This window comes from Homo sapiens, chromosome 9, assembly GCF_000001405.40.
Source record: "Homo sapiens chromosome 9, GRCh38.p14 Primary Assembly".
Taxonomy (NCBI): domain Eukaryota; kingdom Metazoa; phylum Chordata; class Mammalia; order Primates; family Hominidae; genus Homo; species Homo sapiens.
Window position 1 is genome coordinate 91920264 of NC_000009.12, and position 13491 is coordinate 91933754.

General features: G+C 45.3%; 1 protein-coding gene across 6 annotated transcripts in view, besides 2 other annotated features; it reads right to left on the bottom strand.

Moving 5' to 3' along the window:
- Positions 1 to 13491, bottom strand: part of ROR2 (receptor tyrosine kinase like orphan receptor 2) — a 227628-nt gene that overhangs the window by 197663 nt on the left and 16474 nt on the right. The window contains exon 2 of one of the 6 annotated variants that reach the window (XM_047423437.1): positions 3502 to 3665. The exons of the other annotated variants lie outside the window; for them this stretch is intronic. The gene's annotated coding sequence lies outside the window, so the exon portion shown is untranslated. The remainder of the gene's footprint in view (positions 1 to 3501; positions 3666 to 13491) is intronic. 6 annotated transcript variants of the gene reach the window in all.
- Positions 526 to 1366: an enhancer, noted in NCBI's record as "OCT4-NANOG-H3K27ac-H3K4me1 hESC enhancer chr9:94683071-94683911 (GRCh37/hg19 assembly coordinates)". NCBI's record gives its function as "activates a minimal SCP1, AML or CMV promoter by ChIP-STARR-seq in primed H9 embryonic stem cells {active_cell/tissue: H9 hESC(primed)}" and the evidence as "EXISTENCE:reporter gene assay evidence [ECO:0000049][PMID:30033119]".
- Positions 1367 to 2207: an enhancer, noted in NCBI's record as "OCT4-NANOG-H3K4me1 hESC enhancer chr9:94683912-94684752 (GRCh37/hg19 assembly coordinates)". NCBI's record gives its function as "activates a minimal SCP1, AML or CMV promoter by ChIP-STARR-seq in primed H9 embryonic stem cells {active_cell/tissue: H9 hESC(primed)}" and the evidence as "EXISTENCE:reporter gene assay evidence [ECO:0000049][PMID:30033119]".

Consider the following 13491-nt stretch of genomic DNA (forward strand, 5'->3'; position numbering starts at 1 on the left):
TGAGAGGTCGAAGTGGGAGGTCACTAGAGCCCAGGAGTTAATGATCAGCCCTGGCAACATAGCGAGACACTATCTCTACAAAATATTTAAAAGTTAGCTGGGCATGATGGCACATGCCTGTAGTCTCAGCTACTCGGGAGGCTGAGGTGAGAAGATCACTTGTGCCCAAGAGTTTGAGGCTGCAGTGAGCTATGATTGCACCCCTGCACTCCAGCCTGGGTAACAGAACCAGACCCTGTCTGGAAAAGAAAAAGAACAAGTACACAATGCTTTACCCTGCCCACAGGAGACATTCAGAAAGAGGCAAGGGAACAGAGATCAGGTGAGGAAGCCTAGCATTTCACTCCTTCAGCAGGTACTTCCTAAACACCTGGTCTGTCTCAGGTGCTTCCAGGCACTTGGGAGCATATCGACAAAGCAAATGAAGATGTCTGCTCTGGGGTGTGAAGCAGATAAAAACAAATACACATGACAGATAGGTCAAGCAGACGATATGTTCAGAGGTGACAGAGCTACAGGCAGAAGAGGCGGAGACCCCACTATGGGGCACAAAGAAAGATCTGAAGTGAACATAATTTAATTAATGTGGCCCCAGGCACTCAGGCACGGACCAAGGGTGTGCTTCACTGATCTGCATCAAAATGTAAATTGGAGGTTTTATACACTAAAATATGAAAATAACTCATATTGAAACCAGCCAGAGACTGTTTAGGATAGCCAAGCCTCAGACAGCTTGTGTGCAGTATCATTGCCAACAAACTGGACCTCCACCCGAGGGGGTGAACACAGCACTGTGGAGTGGACACTCATGTCCCATCCTCAACCAGGTGCCAAATGGCAGGTGGCCAGCCACAAGAAGTAGCGGACAGGAGAAGCACTGTCCCTTCCCCACAAAGGGTCCCACAAACTGGCCCTGGGCATGTCCTAGTGCTCTCTGACCTGCAGGAAAAAATGAATCAAGACCTCAACCCCATATCAACAAAGAAGTGGCTACTTCAGCCTAAGTACATGCAAAATCAGTCCTTCTTTAATATAGGGGAAAGTTAAAACAGGAATTCCAAATTAAAAGTAATTATATTTTTTCCTCCGTTCTTAAATATATACACGTATACACACACTTACATATATGGCAAAAGTAAAGCAGAATCAGGAATAGAATGCAGAGGCTGTGGAAATCCCAAACCACACTGGCAAAAGAGGACACTTTTCAAGAGCCTGTGCTTAATTGCAGACCAAGCCGCAGGCCTCTTTGTGTCACCAAGTTCTTCCCTTCTAACTTCAAGGGGATGGTAATGTTTAGTCTTTTAAAAGTAAATGAAGCCGGGTGTGGTAGCTCACGCCTGTAATCCCAGCACTTTGGGAGGCCCAGGCGGGTGGATTACTTGAGGTCAGAAGTAGGAGACCAGCCTGGCCAACATGGTGAAAGCCTGTCTCTACTAAAAACACAAAAGTAGCCAGGCGTGGCGGCGCACGCCTGTAGTCGCAGCTACTCAGGAGGCTGAGGCAGGAGAATCGCTTGAACCCGGGAGACAGGTTGCAGTGAGCCAAGATCGCGCCACTGCACTCCAGCCTGGGCAACAGAGACTCCGTCTCAAAAAAAAAAAAAAAAAAGTAAATGAAACTCTAACAACAATAATAAAAAGACAACCCAAGGTGAGATTGGGCAAAGGATCTGAATAGACATTTCTCCAAAAAAAAAAAATACACAACTGGCCAAAAAGAGCATGAAAAGATGTCATCATTAGTCACTGGGAAAATGCAAATCAAAATCACAATGAGAGACCACTCCACAGCCATTAGGACTAGGACGACTATTACCAAAAAACCAAACAACAGCAACAACAACAACAACAACAACAACAAACAACAACAACAAAAACAGAAAACAAGTACTGTTGAGAACGTAGAGAAATTAAAACCCTGGAATACTGCTGGTGAGAATACAAAATGGTGCAGCCACTGTGGAAAAGTCTGGCAGTTCCCCAAAAAAAAAAACATGGAATGACCATGTGATCCGAAATTCTACTGCTAGGTATGTACCCAAAAGAAATTGAAGACTTGTGAATGAAATGTTACTTGGAAATCAACAGCGTCTTCTCTGAGTCCCATCTTCCTTGCAATCAAATAAGAAACAGGTTAAATATCAACAGTTTGATGTCCATACTGAATGTTGTTCTACTTAAATAATTTTTTTATTTTTTATTTTTTGAGATGGAGTCTCACTCTGCTGCCCAGGCTGGAGTGCAGTGGCATGATCTCAGCTCACTGCAACCTCTACCACCCAGGTTCAAGCGATTCTCCGGCCTCAGCCTCCGAAGTAGCTGGGACTACAGGCGCGTACCACCATGCCCGGCTAATTTTTTGTATTTTTAGTAGAGACAGGATTTCACCATGTTAGTCAGGATGGTCTCGATCTCCTGACCTCGTGATCCACCTGCCTTGGCCTCTTGAAGTGCTGTGATTACAGGCAGGAGCCACCGCGCCCGACCAAGAATATTTTTTAAAACTATTAGATGGGAATCTTCTCCAAAACCTGTCGACTCCTCAGTGTCCTCTCATGTCAGGCTCTCCAAATCAGCTGCATAGCTGCTGCATCCAACCCCAGTCCAGCTGCTCAGCCTTTTGCCCTCCTTTCTGGGTGCACACTGGGGCAGCCTGCCTCTCAAAGCCCTGTCCTCCAACAGACTCACTCTGCCTCACTTCTGCTGGGCATGACCTCCCCACTCCCCACTGCCCAATACAGCTCCATTCCATCTTCACATACATAAAGCCTCTCCCTCATGCCAAAGAATAGATGTCTGTTACCTAAGTAGCTATGCCAAGGAATTCAGTGATCACCTGGACAGAGAAGATGCCCAATGTATTTTATTCAATAAGCTAACAAGTTAGCAGCCTCTAGGCACAGAGCAGGTGCTCAGAAAGTACTTATGACTGGCCAAAATGCTGGGGATGAGGCAGTATAAAGCAGCACTGCCCAACTTGCTGTGAAGAGGGAGAGTGTCTCTATCTCCACTGTCCAGTGTGGCCTCCAGCCACATGTGGTATGTGGCAACTGAGCACTTAAGTTTGGCTAGTGCAGCCAAGGGTCTGTTTGTAATTTTATTCAGTCTGAGTTAACTTCAATTAAATAGCCACATGTGATTAATGGCTATCAATTGGACGGTACAGCTACAGAACAATGCACACCCTGGGCATCCTCCTATATCCAGAAATACCCAAGGTAAGGAAATTTGCAGATGGCTAATTTAAGACTTGGCAAGCAAAACAAAGCTCTGGAGACCCAGGGTTGAGGAAATGTGCAAAACTCTGAACAAAGGCTTTCTTTTTAAAATTCACATCTAAACCATAACAGGACCACAAATATTACATTTTTTCTTTAGCAGTAATCAATAACTCATCATTTATTTCAAGTTGACGCACTGACTTTAATATTTTAACCCTCACATGCAATTTTACCAAAGTGCTTATAAACTTGTTGCTTGTTGCAAATAATGTACACACAAGGAAGGCCGTTTTCAGGATGGCATGGCTATCCGATGAGTCAGTATCTTTTTGATCTGAGAGATTCCAAGCTCCCTGAGTTCCTTGGTGGTCCCAGAGATGGAGGAATGCAGGTGTCGTTCTTCAGGTGGCAGAAGTGTTGGGTCAACTGTCCTGTGTGGCTCCTGGAATGAGAGCCGAGGAGAAATCAGGGCACATGGGTGCCTTCCTATTCCAGGGTTTGAGGATGTTCTCATGCATCCCAATTGCAGTCCATACTTGGACCCTCATCAGGCCCTGAAATCCGTCTCCACTACAACATTGGCAGCTGATTCTTTCCTGCTCTCCCCAAGCTGCTGTTCTGCTGCCTGTCTGCACTGAGTAGAACTGAGCTGGTACTCCATGAATGGGAGGGACACTTGAGGGCAAGGTCTTTGTCCTCCATGGTAGGTGATCCCTCCTGCTGCCCAGCCCTTTTCCTATCCTTTGTCCCCACTCCCAACATCAGGCATCCTGTGGTCACGCTGGGGACTGCCCGGCCATCCCTCCTAGTCCCTGCGGTGGAGAGAGGCAAGGGGAGGACTGGAGGAAGGTGTCCATCGGGTCTCAGTCCCTTGTGGTGGAGTGACAGGCAGCTTCAAGGCCAGTGGCTTCTGCCTGCGTCCTCCTGTCCCAGGCCCTCTATGGGAATCACAGCCAGTGGATCTCAACTTTTACGTGCATTAGAGAGGCACAGATTGCTGAGTTCACCTCAAAATTTCTGATTCAGGCCGGGCACGATGGCTTACGCCTGTAATCCCAGCACTTTGGGAGGCAGAGGCGGGCGGATCACGAGGTCAGGAGATCGAGACCATCCTGGCTAACACGGTGAAACCCCATCTCTACTAAAAATACAAAAAACTAGCCAGGCGTGGTAGCGGGCGCCTGTAGTCCCAGCTACTTGGGAGGCTGAGGCAGGAGAATGGCGGGAACCCAGGAGGCGGAGCTTGCAGTGAGACAAGATCACGCCAGCCTGGGCGACAGAGCGAGACTCCATCTAAAAAAAAAAAAAATTCTGATTCAACAGACGCGGGGCAGGCCCAAGAGTTTGCTTTTTTTGTTTTGTTTGTGTGTTTGTTTGAGACAGGGTCTAGCTCTGTCATACATGCTGGAGTGCAGTGGCACAATCATACCTCACTGCAGCCTCAACCTCCCAGGCTCAAGCAATCCTCTCACTTTAGCCTCCCAAGTAGCTGGGATCACAGGCACGAGCCACCACACCTGGCTATTTTTTATTATTATTATTATTTGTAGAGATAGGATCCCACTATGTTGCCCAGGCTGGTCTCAAACTCTTGGGCTCAGTAATCCTCCCATCTTGGCCTCCCCCAAAGTGCTGAGATTACAGGTGTGAACCACTGCACCTGACCATGTTTGCATTTTTAACAAGCTCCCAGGTGATGCTGATGCCAGTGGTCCAGAGACACCACTGAGAGAACCATCGCTGTAGGGCCCTAGTCTTCTAGAAGAGGACACCCTCATGACACCAACCATCTGCTCATCTCATAGACATTAACTTACACAGCTCTCAAGAACGCACTTCCCCCAAGATACAGCCTTCAGCCATCCCAACAGCTCAGCCCAAGCCCACGAGACCCAGCCCCCAGCTCGGCAAGCTCTGTCCTTGCTCAGCACAAGTGAGCTCACAGGTACACACCCCTGACAATGCTGTCAGCTGCCTGTATGTGTGTGTGTGTGTGTGTGTGTGTGTGTGTGCAGCATGCATATGCACTTGTTTTGGTGCCTGGCACATGCACCCATTTCTTCTCAAACTTATGACTTACCTCCACACAAGCCCCAATTCCCAATGCCCTCGCCATCCTTATCCTCCAACCCCAAATACATGCACACACCTAAGTTTCTTGGATGGCAGAAAACCAACAGATGGATAATCCATAGGAACTCAAATACAGAGTAACAGCAATCCTATGTCAAGAGTGCTTGCCAGAGAGCCAGAGAGAAGAAAACTCGCTCACTCTACCCTTTCATTGCACAGAATTTGGGGGACCGATCCTGAGGTGTGACACCACTCTGGGTTCAACAGACACCTGGGTAGAGAAGCCACCAACTGACCTCAGAGATGGGGTTTCCTCCTGGTGAGAAACAAGTCACTTGGCTTCCACGCACTCTGCCTAATTTCTCCTGCATGATTTGCGTGCACACTTAAGAAGACATCCTAGGCCTGGCGCGGTTGCTCACGCCTGTAATCCCAGCACTCTGGGAGGCCGAGGCAGGCGGATCACCTGAGGTCAAGAGTTCAAGACCAGCCTGGCCAACATGGCAAAACCCCATCTCTACTAAAAAAATACAAACATTAGGCCAGGCGCGGTGGCTCACGCCTGTAATCCCAGCACTTTGGGAGGCCGAGGCGGGAGGATCATGAGGTCAGGAGATCGAGACCATCCTGGCTAACATGGTGAAACCCCATCTCTACTTTAAAAAAAAAAAAAAATTAGCAGGGCATGTGGCGGGCGCCTGTAGTCCCAGCTACTTGGGAGGCTGAGGCAGGAGAATGGTGTGAACCCGGGAGTCAGAGCTTGCAGTGAGCCAAGATCATGCCACTGCACTCTAGCCTGGGCGACAGAGCAAGACTCCGTCTCAAAAAAAAAAAAAATTAGCTGGGCGTGGTGGCACATGCCTATAACGCCAGCTACTCAGGAGGCTGAAGCTGGAGAATTGCTTGAACCCGGGAGGTGGAGGTAGCAGTGAGCCAAGATCACACCACTGCACTCCAGCCTGGGCGACAGAATGACTCCATCTCAAAAAAAAAAAAAAAAAGAAGACATCCTATATTTATCCTTGCAACAGGATTTGAAACACATAAACATGGGATACATTTTTTTAAACTCCAATCACTGTAGCCAGATGTAGAAATCCATCTACCTTCTTTAAAAGATTAAGAGTATTACGTCCGGGTGAACCCTGATGAAATCACGCTCAGTGAAACAGGCCAGGCACAAAGGACAAACACTATACGAGTCCACTCACACGAGGTCCCCAGCGTAGTCAAATACATAGAGACAGAAAGGAGAATTGGGGTTGCCAGGAACTCAGGAGCGGGGAATAAAGAGGTAGTGTTTCATGGGGAGAGAGCTTCTGTTTGGGAAGGGGAAACAGTTTTGGAGATGGATGGTAGTGAGGTGGTGATGGCTGCACAGCAACGTGAATGTTCTTGATGCTGCTGAACTGTATGCTCAAAACCAATTAAGATGGCACATTCTATGTTTTGTGTATTTTAATACCAAAATTTTAAAAAGAAAAAAATAACACGTTTTTTATAAGAAGTGTTATATCATTAAATTTGGTAGAACGGTGCTCTTTTGCCCCATTTCATGGGCCATACTCAGCCCACCAGAGCAAAGTGATCTTTTTCAGACCGTAAGTCTTTCAAGACCCAAACTGCGTCCTGGACACAGCTGGGTTAGAGGTCATACTCTCCAGGTCAGAGACCCACAGCTCCCCCAAAAACCAGGATCTTAAGGTCACTTGGTGGTCACCGCCCTCAGCGGCTTTTGGAAGCTCATCCAAATCCCCAAACCATTACACAGGTAAGTGTAACTTCACAGCCTGCCTGCAAGAAAAGTCCTTGCTGACCCACTCACTGCAGGAAGAACTAAACACCGTACACAAACTCCAAAGCCAGAGGACCCTGAAGGGGGACCAGGGGAGAAAAAAGTCCGAGGGCCACCTCCATGCCCCACCTCCATTCACCACCTCCATTTGCTACCTCCGTACCCTATCTCTGTGCCCTCTGTGGCTGGCTCTGTGTTTTCTAGATTCTTTTTTTTTTTTTTTTTTTTTGAGACGGAGTCTCTCTGTCACCCATGTTGGAGTGCAGTGGTGCGATGTCAGCTCACTGCAACCTCCACCTCCCAGGTTCAAGCAATTCTCCTGCCTCAGCCTCCCAAGTAGCTAGGATTACAGGTGCATGCCACCACACTTGGCTAATTTTTTGTATTTTAGTAGAGACGGGGTTTCACCATGTTGCCCAGGCTGGTCTTGAACTCCTGAGCTCAGGCAATCCACCCTCCTCGGCCTCCCAAAGTGCTAGGATTACAGGCGTGAGCCACCGCGCCCAGCCTCTAGATTCTATAACTGTCTACTTGGCATCCATTCATCACAGGGTCAATTGTATCAACTATATTTTATTTTCTGTATCCTTGATGCTCCTGCATTTGTGGCCCCACTAGCTAGAGACTGCCCTTCCCAGGCCTGGCAAATCCTAGAGACAGCAAAGGGCCCACTGGGAGCTCGCCTTTCTTATGCAAACCAACCACCCTAGAGCCCCACTTCCCGCCACCTCCTGCATCACACTCACCTGCCACCACCTTCTGCATTACATTCACACGCCAAGCCAACTTCTTGGCCCTATGTGACCCCAGGGCAGGCACCAGGCACCAGACACCCAGGAACAGCCCCCACCCCCAGGCCCCAAAGCCTGCCAACAAGAGTCACATCAGCCCATCTGGAACCGTCCCCCACTGCCTTGTATTTCCCAATCCCCTCACTGCCCCTCTGCCTCCCAACCCAACCTGCTGCTGCCCTTGAGGCCCTGCGTGGCATGGCAGGTACCCTTCTCTTAGGAAATGTAAATAACAAAATCTTTCCATGTAAAATCCCTCTGGCACCATCACTGGGATGCCACCCACCACGGTGTGGGACTGTGCCCTGGTGGCCACATAAAGAAAGGAAGGTACACCACTCTGACGTGGGCTCACCGCTGACCCTGGGCAAGGAAAGAGGCAGACTGTGGGCTTCTCATGGGAGAGCAGAGTCTTGGAAAGCCAAACTGCCCCAGATGAATCCAGATTCACCATTCTGGGGACATAATGCTGGGCAAGGCATGCTGCTTCTCTCTACCTCAGTTTCCCCATCTGTAAAAGGGACAAACAGCATCTCCCCTCACAGACTGTTTCAAAGACTAAATGACATAATTCATCTAAAAAGCAGGGCAGATCCTGGCATGAATCACATGCTGAGGAGTGCTTCTGAAGAACCCCATGATAGTAAGTGGAGGACCCCCGTTCAGTGGTGTCAATCATGCAAGCTCCACAGGAGAAAATGTGCACCCTGCACTTTCCTCATCTACATCACTAGTTCAATAAATATCAGGACTGAATGTTGAAAAGCCGTCATGTCAATTATCCTGCTTATTTTGCTACAGGTGTTGAATAGAAAGACTGGCAAGAAAACCAGCCATGCCTGCACAGTATCACTGCTTTTCTCTGCAGAAGGCTGGGTTCATGCTGTCGAGCAAGGAAGCATGGGCACTGTGGCTTTGTGCCTGCATGGGAACACGATTTGACTTTTTGTGGCTCCACAGAATCAGAAACAGTAAACCTCCACACCCGTATTTCCCCTAACACAGTCCCCAAAATAAAAGAGCGCTATGATCAAATATGTTTGAGAAACACTATGTTAGAAAATACAAAGCAGGTTTTTGTAAAACAGGCTGCACCAGTTTCCAAATGTGCCCACCCTGGAGGCTTTGTCATTCTGTGAAGGAACGCAAGGGAGGGGGGCACAGTGAAATCCACTTTGCAAAACGTTACCGCAGCCACAGAGGAAAATTTAAAAGCTCCGCAAAGGCATGGCATCTTCGAGATGACGCCAGTGGTCAGCATGGACGCCCTTGCAGCTTCTCAGAGGATAAGACAAGTGCATCAAGGTGTAACCCGTGGAGAGGGGGTTCCATCCCACACAGCCAATGTTCTATCCCATCAAGAGACTGAGGCAACACCTCCAGAACAAGTCATGTTTAGAGACACAAAAGAACCAGCACCAGAATTTGCCTCTGGTCCCCACGGGCATTCTTTTCAATTCAACTTATGACCCAAAGACATTCCAACACCCATGCAGGTGGCTCCCAATGACAGAGGACAGAGCAAAGTTGCTTCACACTGCTCCAAGTCCAAGAAAACCCAAAGGAGCCTCAACTCTAAACCACCCAGAAAGGTCAAACAAATCAAGAGTGGGCACCAAAAGCCAAAACACACCTCCATAAACCCCAGGAAGAGGACGGCCACTACCTCAAGTGGCTTCCTGGGTGCTAAGGCCAGGGGCGTGCAAGATCCTGAGTACCACAGAGTTTTCCCCGGGACCTGACTCCCACATCATTGAACACAGAGAGCAAAGATGAAGGAAAGGCCAAGAAAATGTGCTGTCTTTGTTTTCATTCCCAGATCTGTGTCCTACTGCAGTGGCTGCTCAACCCCTACTGCACACTAGTTTTAACTGCAAGCTTTAAAAAAAAAAATCTGGGCACCCAAGCTGCACCCCAGACAATTGAAATCATAAGCAGGAGGAAACCAACCCAGCCACCATATTTTTTAAAGCTCCCCTGAAAAGCAGAGATTCTCAACTCTAGCCACACATTAGAGTCACCTGGAAGCTTTTATACAGACCTAGGTCCCACATGCTGGAAACAATCAGTTCCTCTTCAAACGTTCTTGCTCTTTCCTGTTCTGTTAATAACGCTTCCCACCTTTGCTGTGCAAACTGCTAGAAACAAAGACTCAACTTTTTAGTCACAAATTGTAAACTACTCCTACTTTCCCCTTCTTTCCACGCATTTACCCTGTTTGGAAAAGTTTAAGTCTCAGCCAGTCGGGATCAGCTTAGACTGTGTGGTCCGACTGCAGCCAATAGGAGAAGGAAACAGAAACAGAAGCTGCATTAGGGATAAAAACCCCTTCTCTCCTTTGTTCAGTGTGCTCTTGCAAGCGTGACAAACACAAGCAGCACTCTTCTGCAGAAGTAAATGTGCCTTGCTGAGAAACTTCCTATTTAAGTGCTGGTTTTTCTTTGCAGCACTGGGCACTTGTTTCTAACACACACCAGAGGAATGTAAAGCTGCAAAAGTGAGTTCATCATGGGGGCAAGATTGACAAATCACTGTGTCAGGGGAAGTCAAAGAGAAAGGACAGAAATGCTGGCTACAGACAGCTGAGATACAACACACCTATAAGCGGTGTTCCTGAAAAACAGAATACAGCAAACAGAAACACATGGATTCAAACGTTTAATGGATGAAAATGAAGCCAAAATAAAGCAAGACTTAATTTGCAGACTGAAGACCTAATTCCCAAGAAGAATGGATATGGCTGGTCATTATCAGAGCATGAACTGGTGAAGTTGCTGAATCTCAAAAATTCATAGTATTTGTCTGGTACATCATTGCCTTTCTTTTCACTTTTTTACCTTCTAATCACTTGGATTTGGACAGATATTTTACATAAAAGTCAAAGAAAACAAACAAAAGGGAGAAAAAAGGAGGCACTAAAAATAGAAACTATGCTCCCCCAAATGTGACAAAAATGAGATCAAATATGTTATCTCAGTAAGTGTAACTGAGGGAAAATAAATATCAAGAAGAAAAAAACAATAGGATTAAACTCCAAATAAAACTATTTGTTATATTTAAAATCTGTCTGAATCCAAACAACTAGAAGATAGAAAATTTTTAAATGGCAACGATGTACCAGGCAAGTCACAAATAAGGAAGAACTGTAATATTAATGTCATACTCTCCTTAATTAGAAGTAAAAGGGACACTTTAAAATGATTAAGAGTAGAATTCTCAGTAAGGCTCTGTCATGAATATATGTAAAAGACATCCCAGTGTCCAAAAGCACAACACAAAATCTGAAGCAAAATCAGAGAAACAGACCAAAATAATGGCTTAGGATACCTTCAACTTTTCTCTCTACTTAGGGCAGATAAAGAAGACAAAAGTGTAAGTGAAGATACAGAAAAACTAAACTATATAACCAATGAAGTTGCTCTTAACTGAGATTATATCTAAGGTCCCACTTAATAACCAAATTTTAAGCCATTTAAAAAAAAATCAAATTCCCTAAAACCAAAACATAGCAGATCACACTATCTACACAAAATGCAATAAAACCACAAAATAACTCCCTACAAGTATTAAAATTTCTTCTTGTCTTGCAGAAGAAATAAAATTGAGATGACAAGCTATTTGGAAAAGAACAATACTAAAAACATCATGCAACATGAACACAACATAAAAGCTGTAGCTAAAGCTACACTCATGGGACAATTTATAGCCTTAAGAACTTGCCTTACTTATAATAAAATTGTTCTAAAGTTTATCTAGAAAAATAAGTGACACTAGCCAATAAAGTTCTGGGAACAATGAGTAAAGAGTTAGTCCTACCAAATACCAAAATTTAGAAAGCTATGGTAATTAAAAGTGAGATAAAAACTGAATTTTCCAGAAATAACACCAATCTATCATGGAATTTTAATACCCAAAAAAAGAGGGAGCTGCTTTTCAAATCTTTGATAAGGAATTAATTACACAATGAAGAATTTCAGGACAATTCATTTTTCTGAGGAAAATAAAGCTGGATCTAAGTTGCATGTGAACCGAAGATTTAACCATACACACACAAAAAAAGATCATTAAGAACCTACCCAAAACAGCATAATTTTTTAAAAACAAGCTTAGAATGGCAAAGGGATTCTAATATATGTCTCAAAACTCAAAATATATAAAACAAAAGCTGGCTTAATTTGACTCCATAAAACTTAAGACTTACCGCATGAAAACAAATATCATAAAAAAAATCAAAGGAGAACGTGAGGAAAAAAACACGTTCACAGAATCTGGTACATGGCTAAATATTCTTAGAAATAGTCTTAGATTCATGACCAGGCTGGCCAACATGGCAAAACTCCGTCTCTACTAAAAATACAAAAAAAAAAAATTAGCTGGGTGTGGTGGCGCATGCCTCTAATCCCAGCTACTTGGGAGGCTGAGGCAGGAGAATCACTTGAACCAGGGAGGCGGAGGTTGCAGTGAGCCAAGATTGCGCCATTGCACTCCAGCCTGGGCAACTGAGCGAGACTGTCTCAAAAAAAAAAAAGAAAGAAAGAAAAGAAAACAGAAATAGTTGTAGAAACCAGTGAGGCAACTGAGAATAACTGCTAGAAAATTAGTAGAGAAAGTGAACGCTTATTTGCCAGAAAAAAGAAACACAAATTACTTATAAGGACAGTTGGCCTGGTGGACAATTGTTAAAATGTCAACATACAGAATTAAGATGCCATTTCTATTTTTCATACTTCTTAAGATGAAAATGCCAGATGATTTCCAATGTTGCTGGGCCTAGAAAAACCCAAAAAGTTCATGCATCATTACTGGGAGAATAAATTGCTGCCACCTTCTGGGAAAACAACTTTGTAGACAGTATCAAAAGTTTAAACATAGGCCAAGCACAGTGGCCTATGATTACAGGCGTTAGCCTGTAATCTCAGCACTTTGGAAGGCCAAGGCAGGCGGATCATGAGGTCAGAACATCGAGACTATCCTGACTAACACGGTCAAACTCCGTCTCTACCAAAAATACAAAAAAAAAATTAGCCGGGCATGGTGGCACGCGCCTGTGGTCCCAGCTACTCAGGATGCTGAGGCAGAAGAATCGCTTGAACCCAGGAGGTGGAGGTTGCAGTGAGCCGAGATTGCGCCACTGCACTCCAGCCTGGGCGACAGGGCCAGACTGTCTCAAAAAATATAATACTTTGCACAAAGTACTGGACTGGAAATTGGCTCTACAGATACTCACAGAGTTAAAAAAAAAAATATGTTTACAGATGTTCACTACAGACCTGTTTCAAGTAATAGCTAAAAATCAGAAGTATACATCCACAGGAGACCAGGGAAATAAATTCCAAATGAGAGCTATCAGCAAATTGTTTTAATGACAGATACTACCAATGTATACATAAATGACAGATATTAGCAATGGTTTTTAAAAATGAGGTAGCCTGGCATGTACTAATACAGAAAGACTTATGAGAACTATCGTTAGGTGAAAACAGCAAACCTCAGTATGTATGGTATGATCTCACTGTGTATAAAAACAAAGAAAGAATGGAGCAATGTGGATGAACCTTGAAAACATTATGCTAAGTGAAAGAAGCCAGACACAAAAGGCCACATACTGC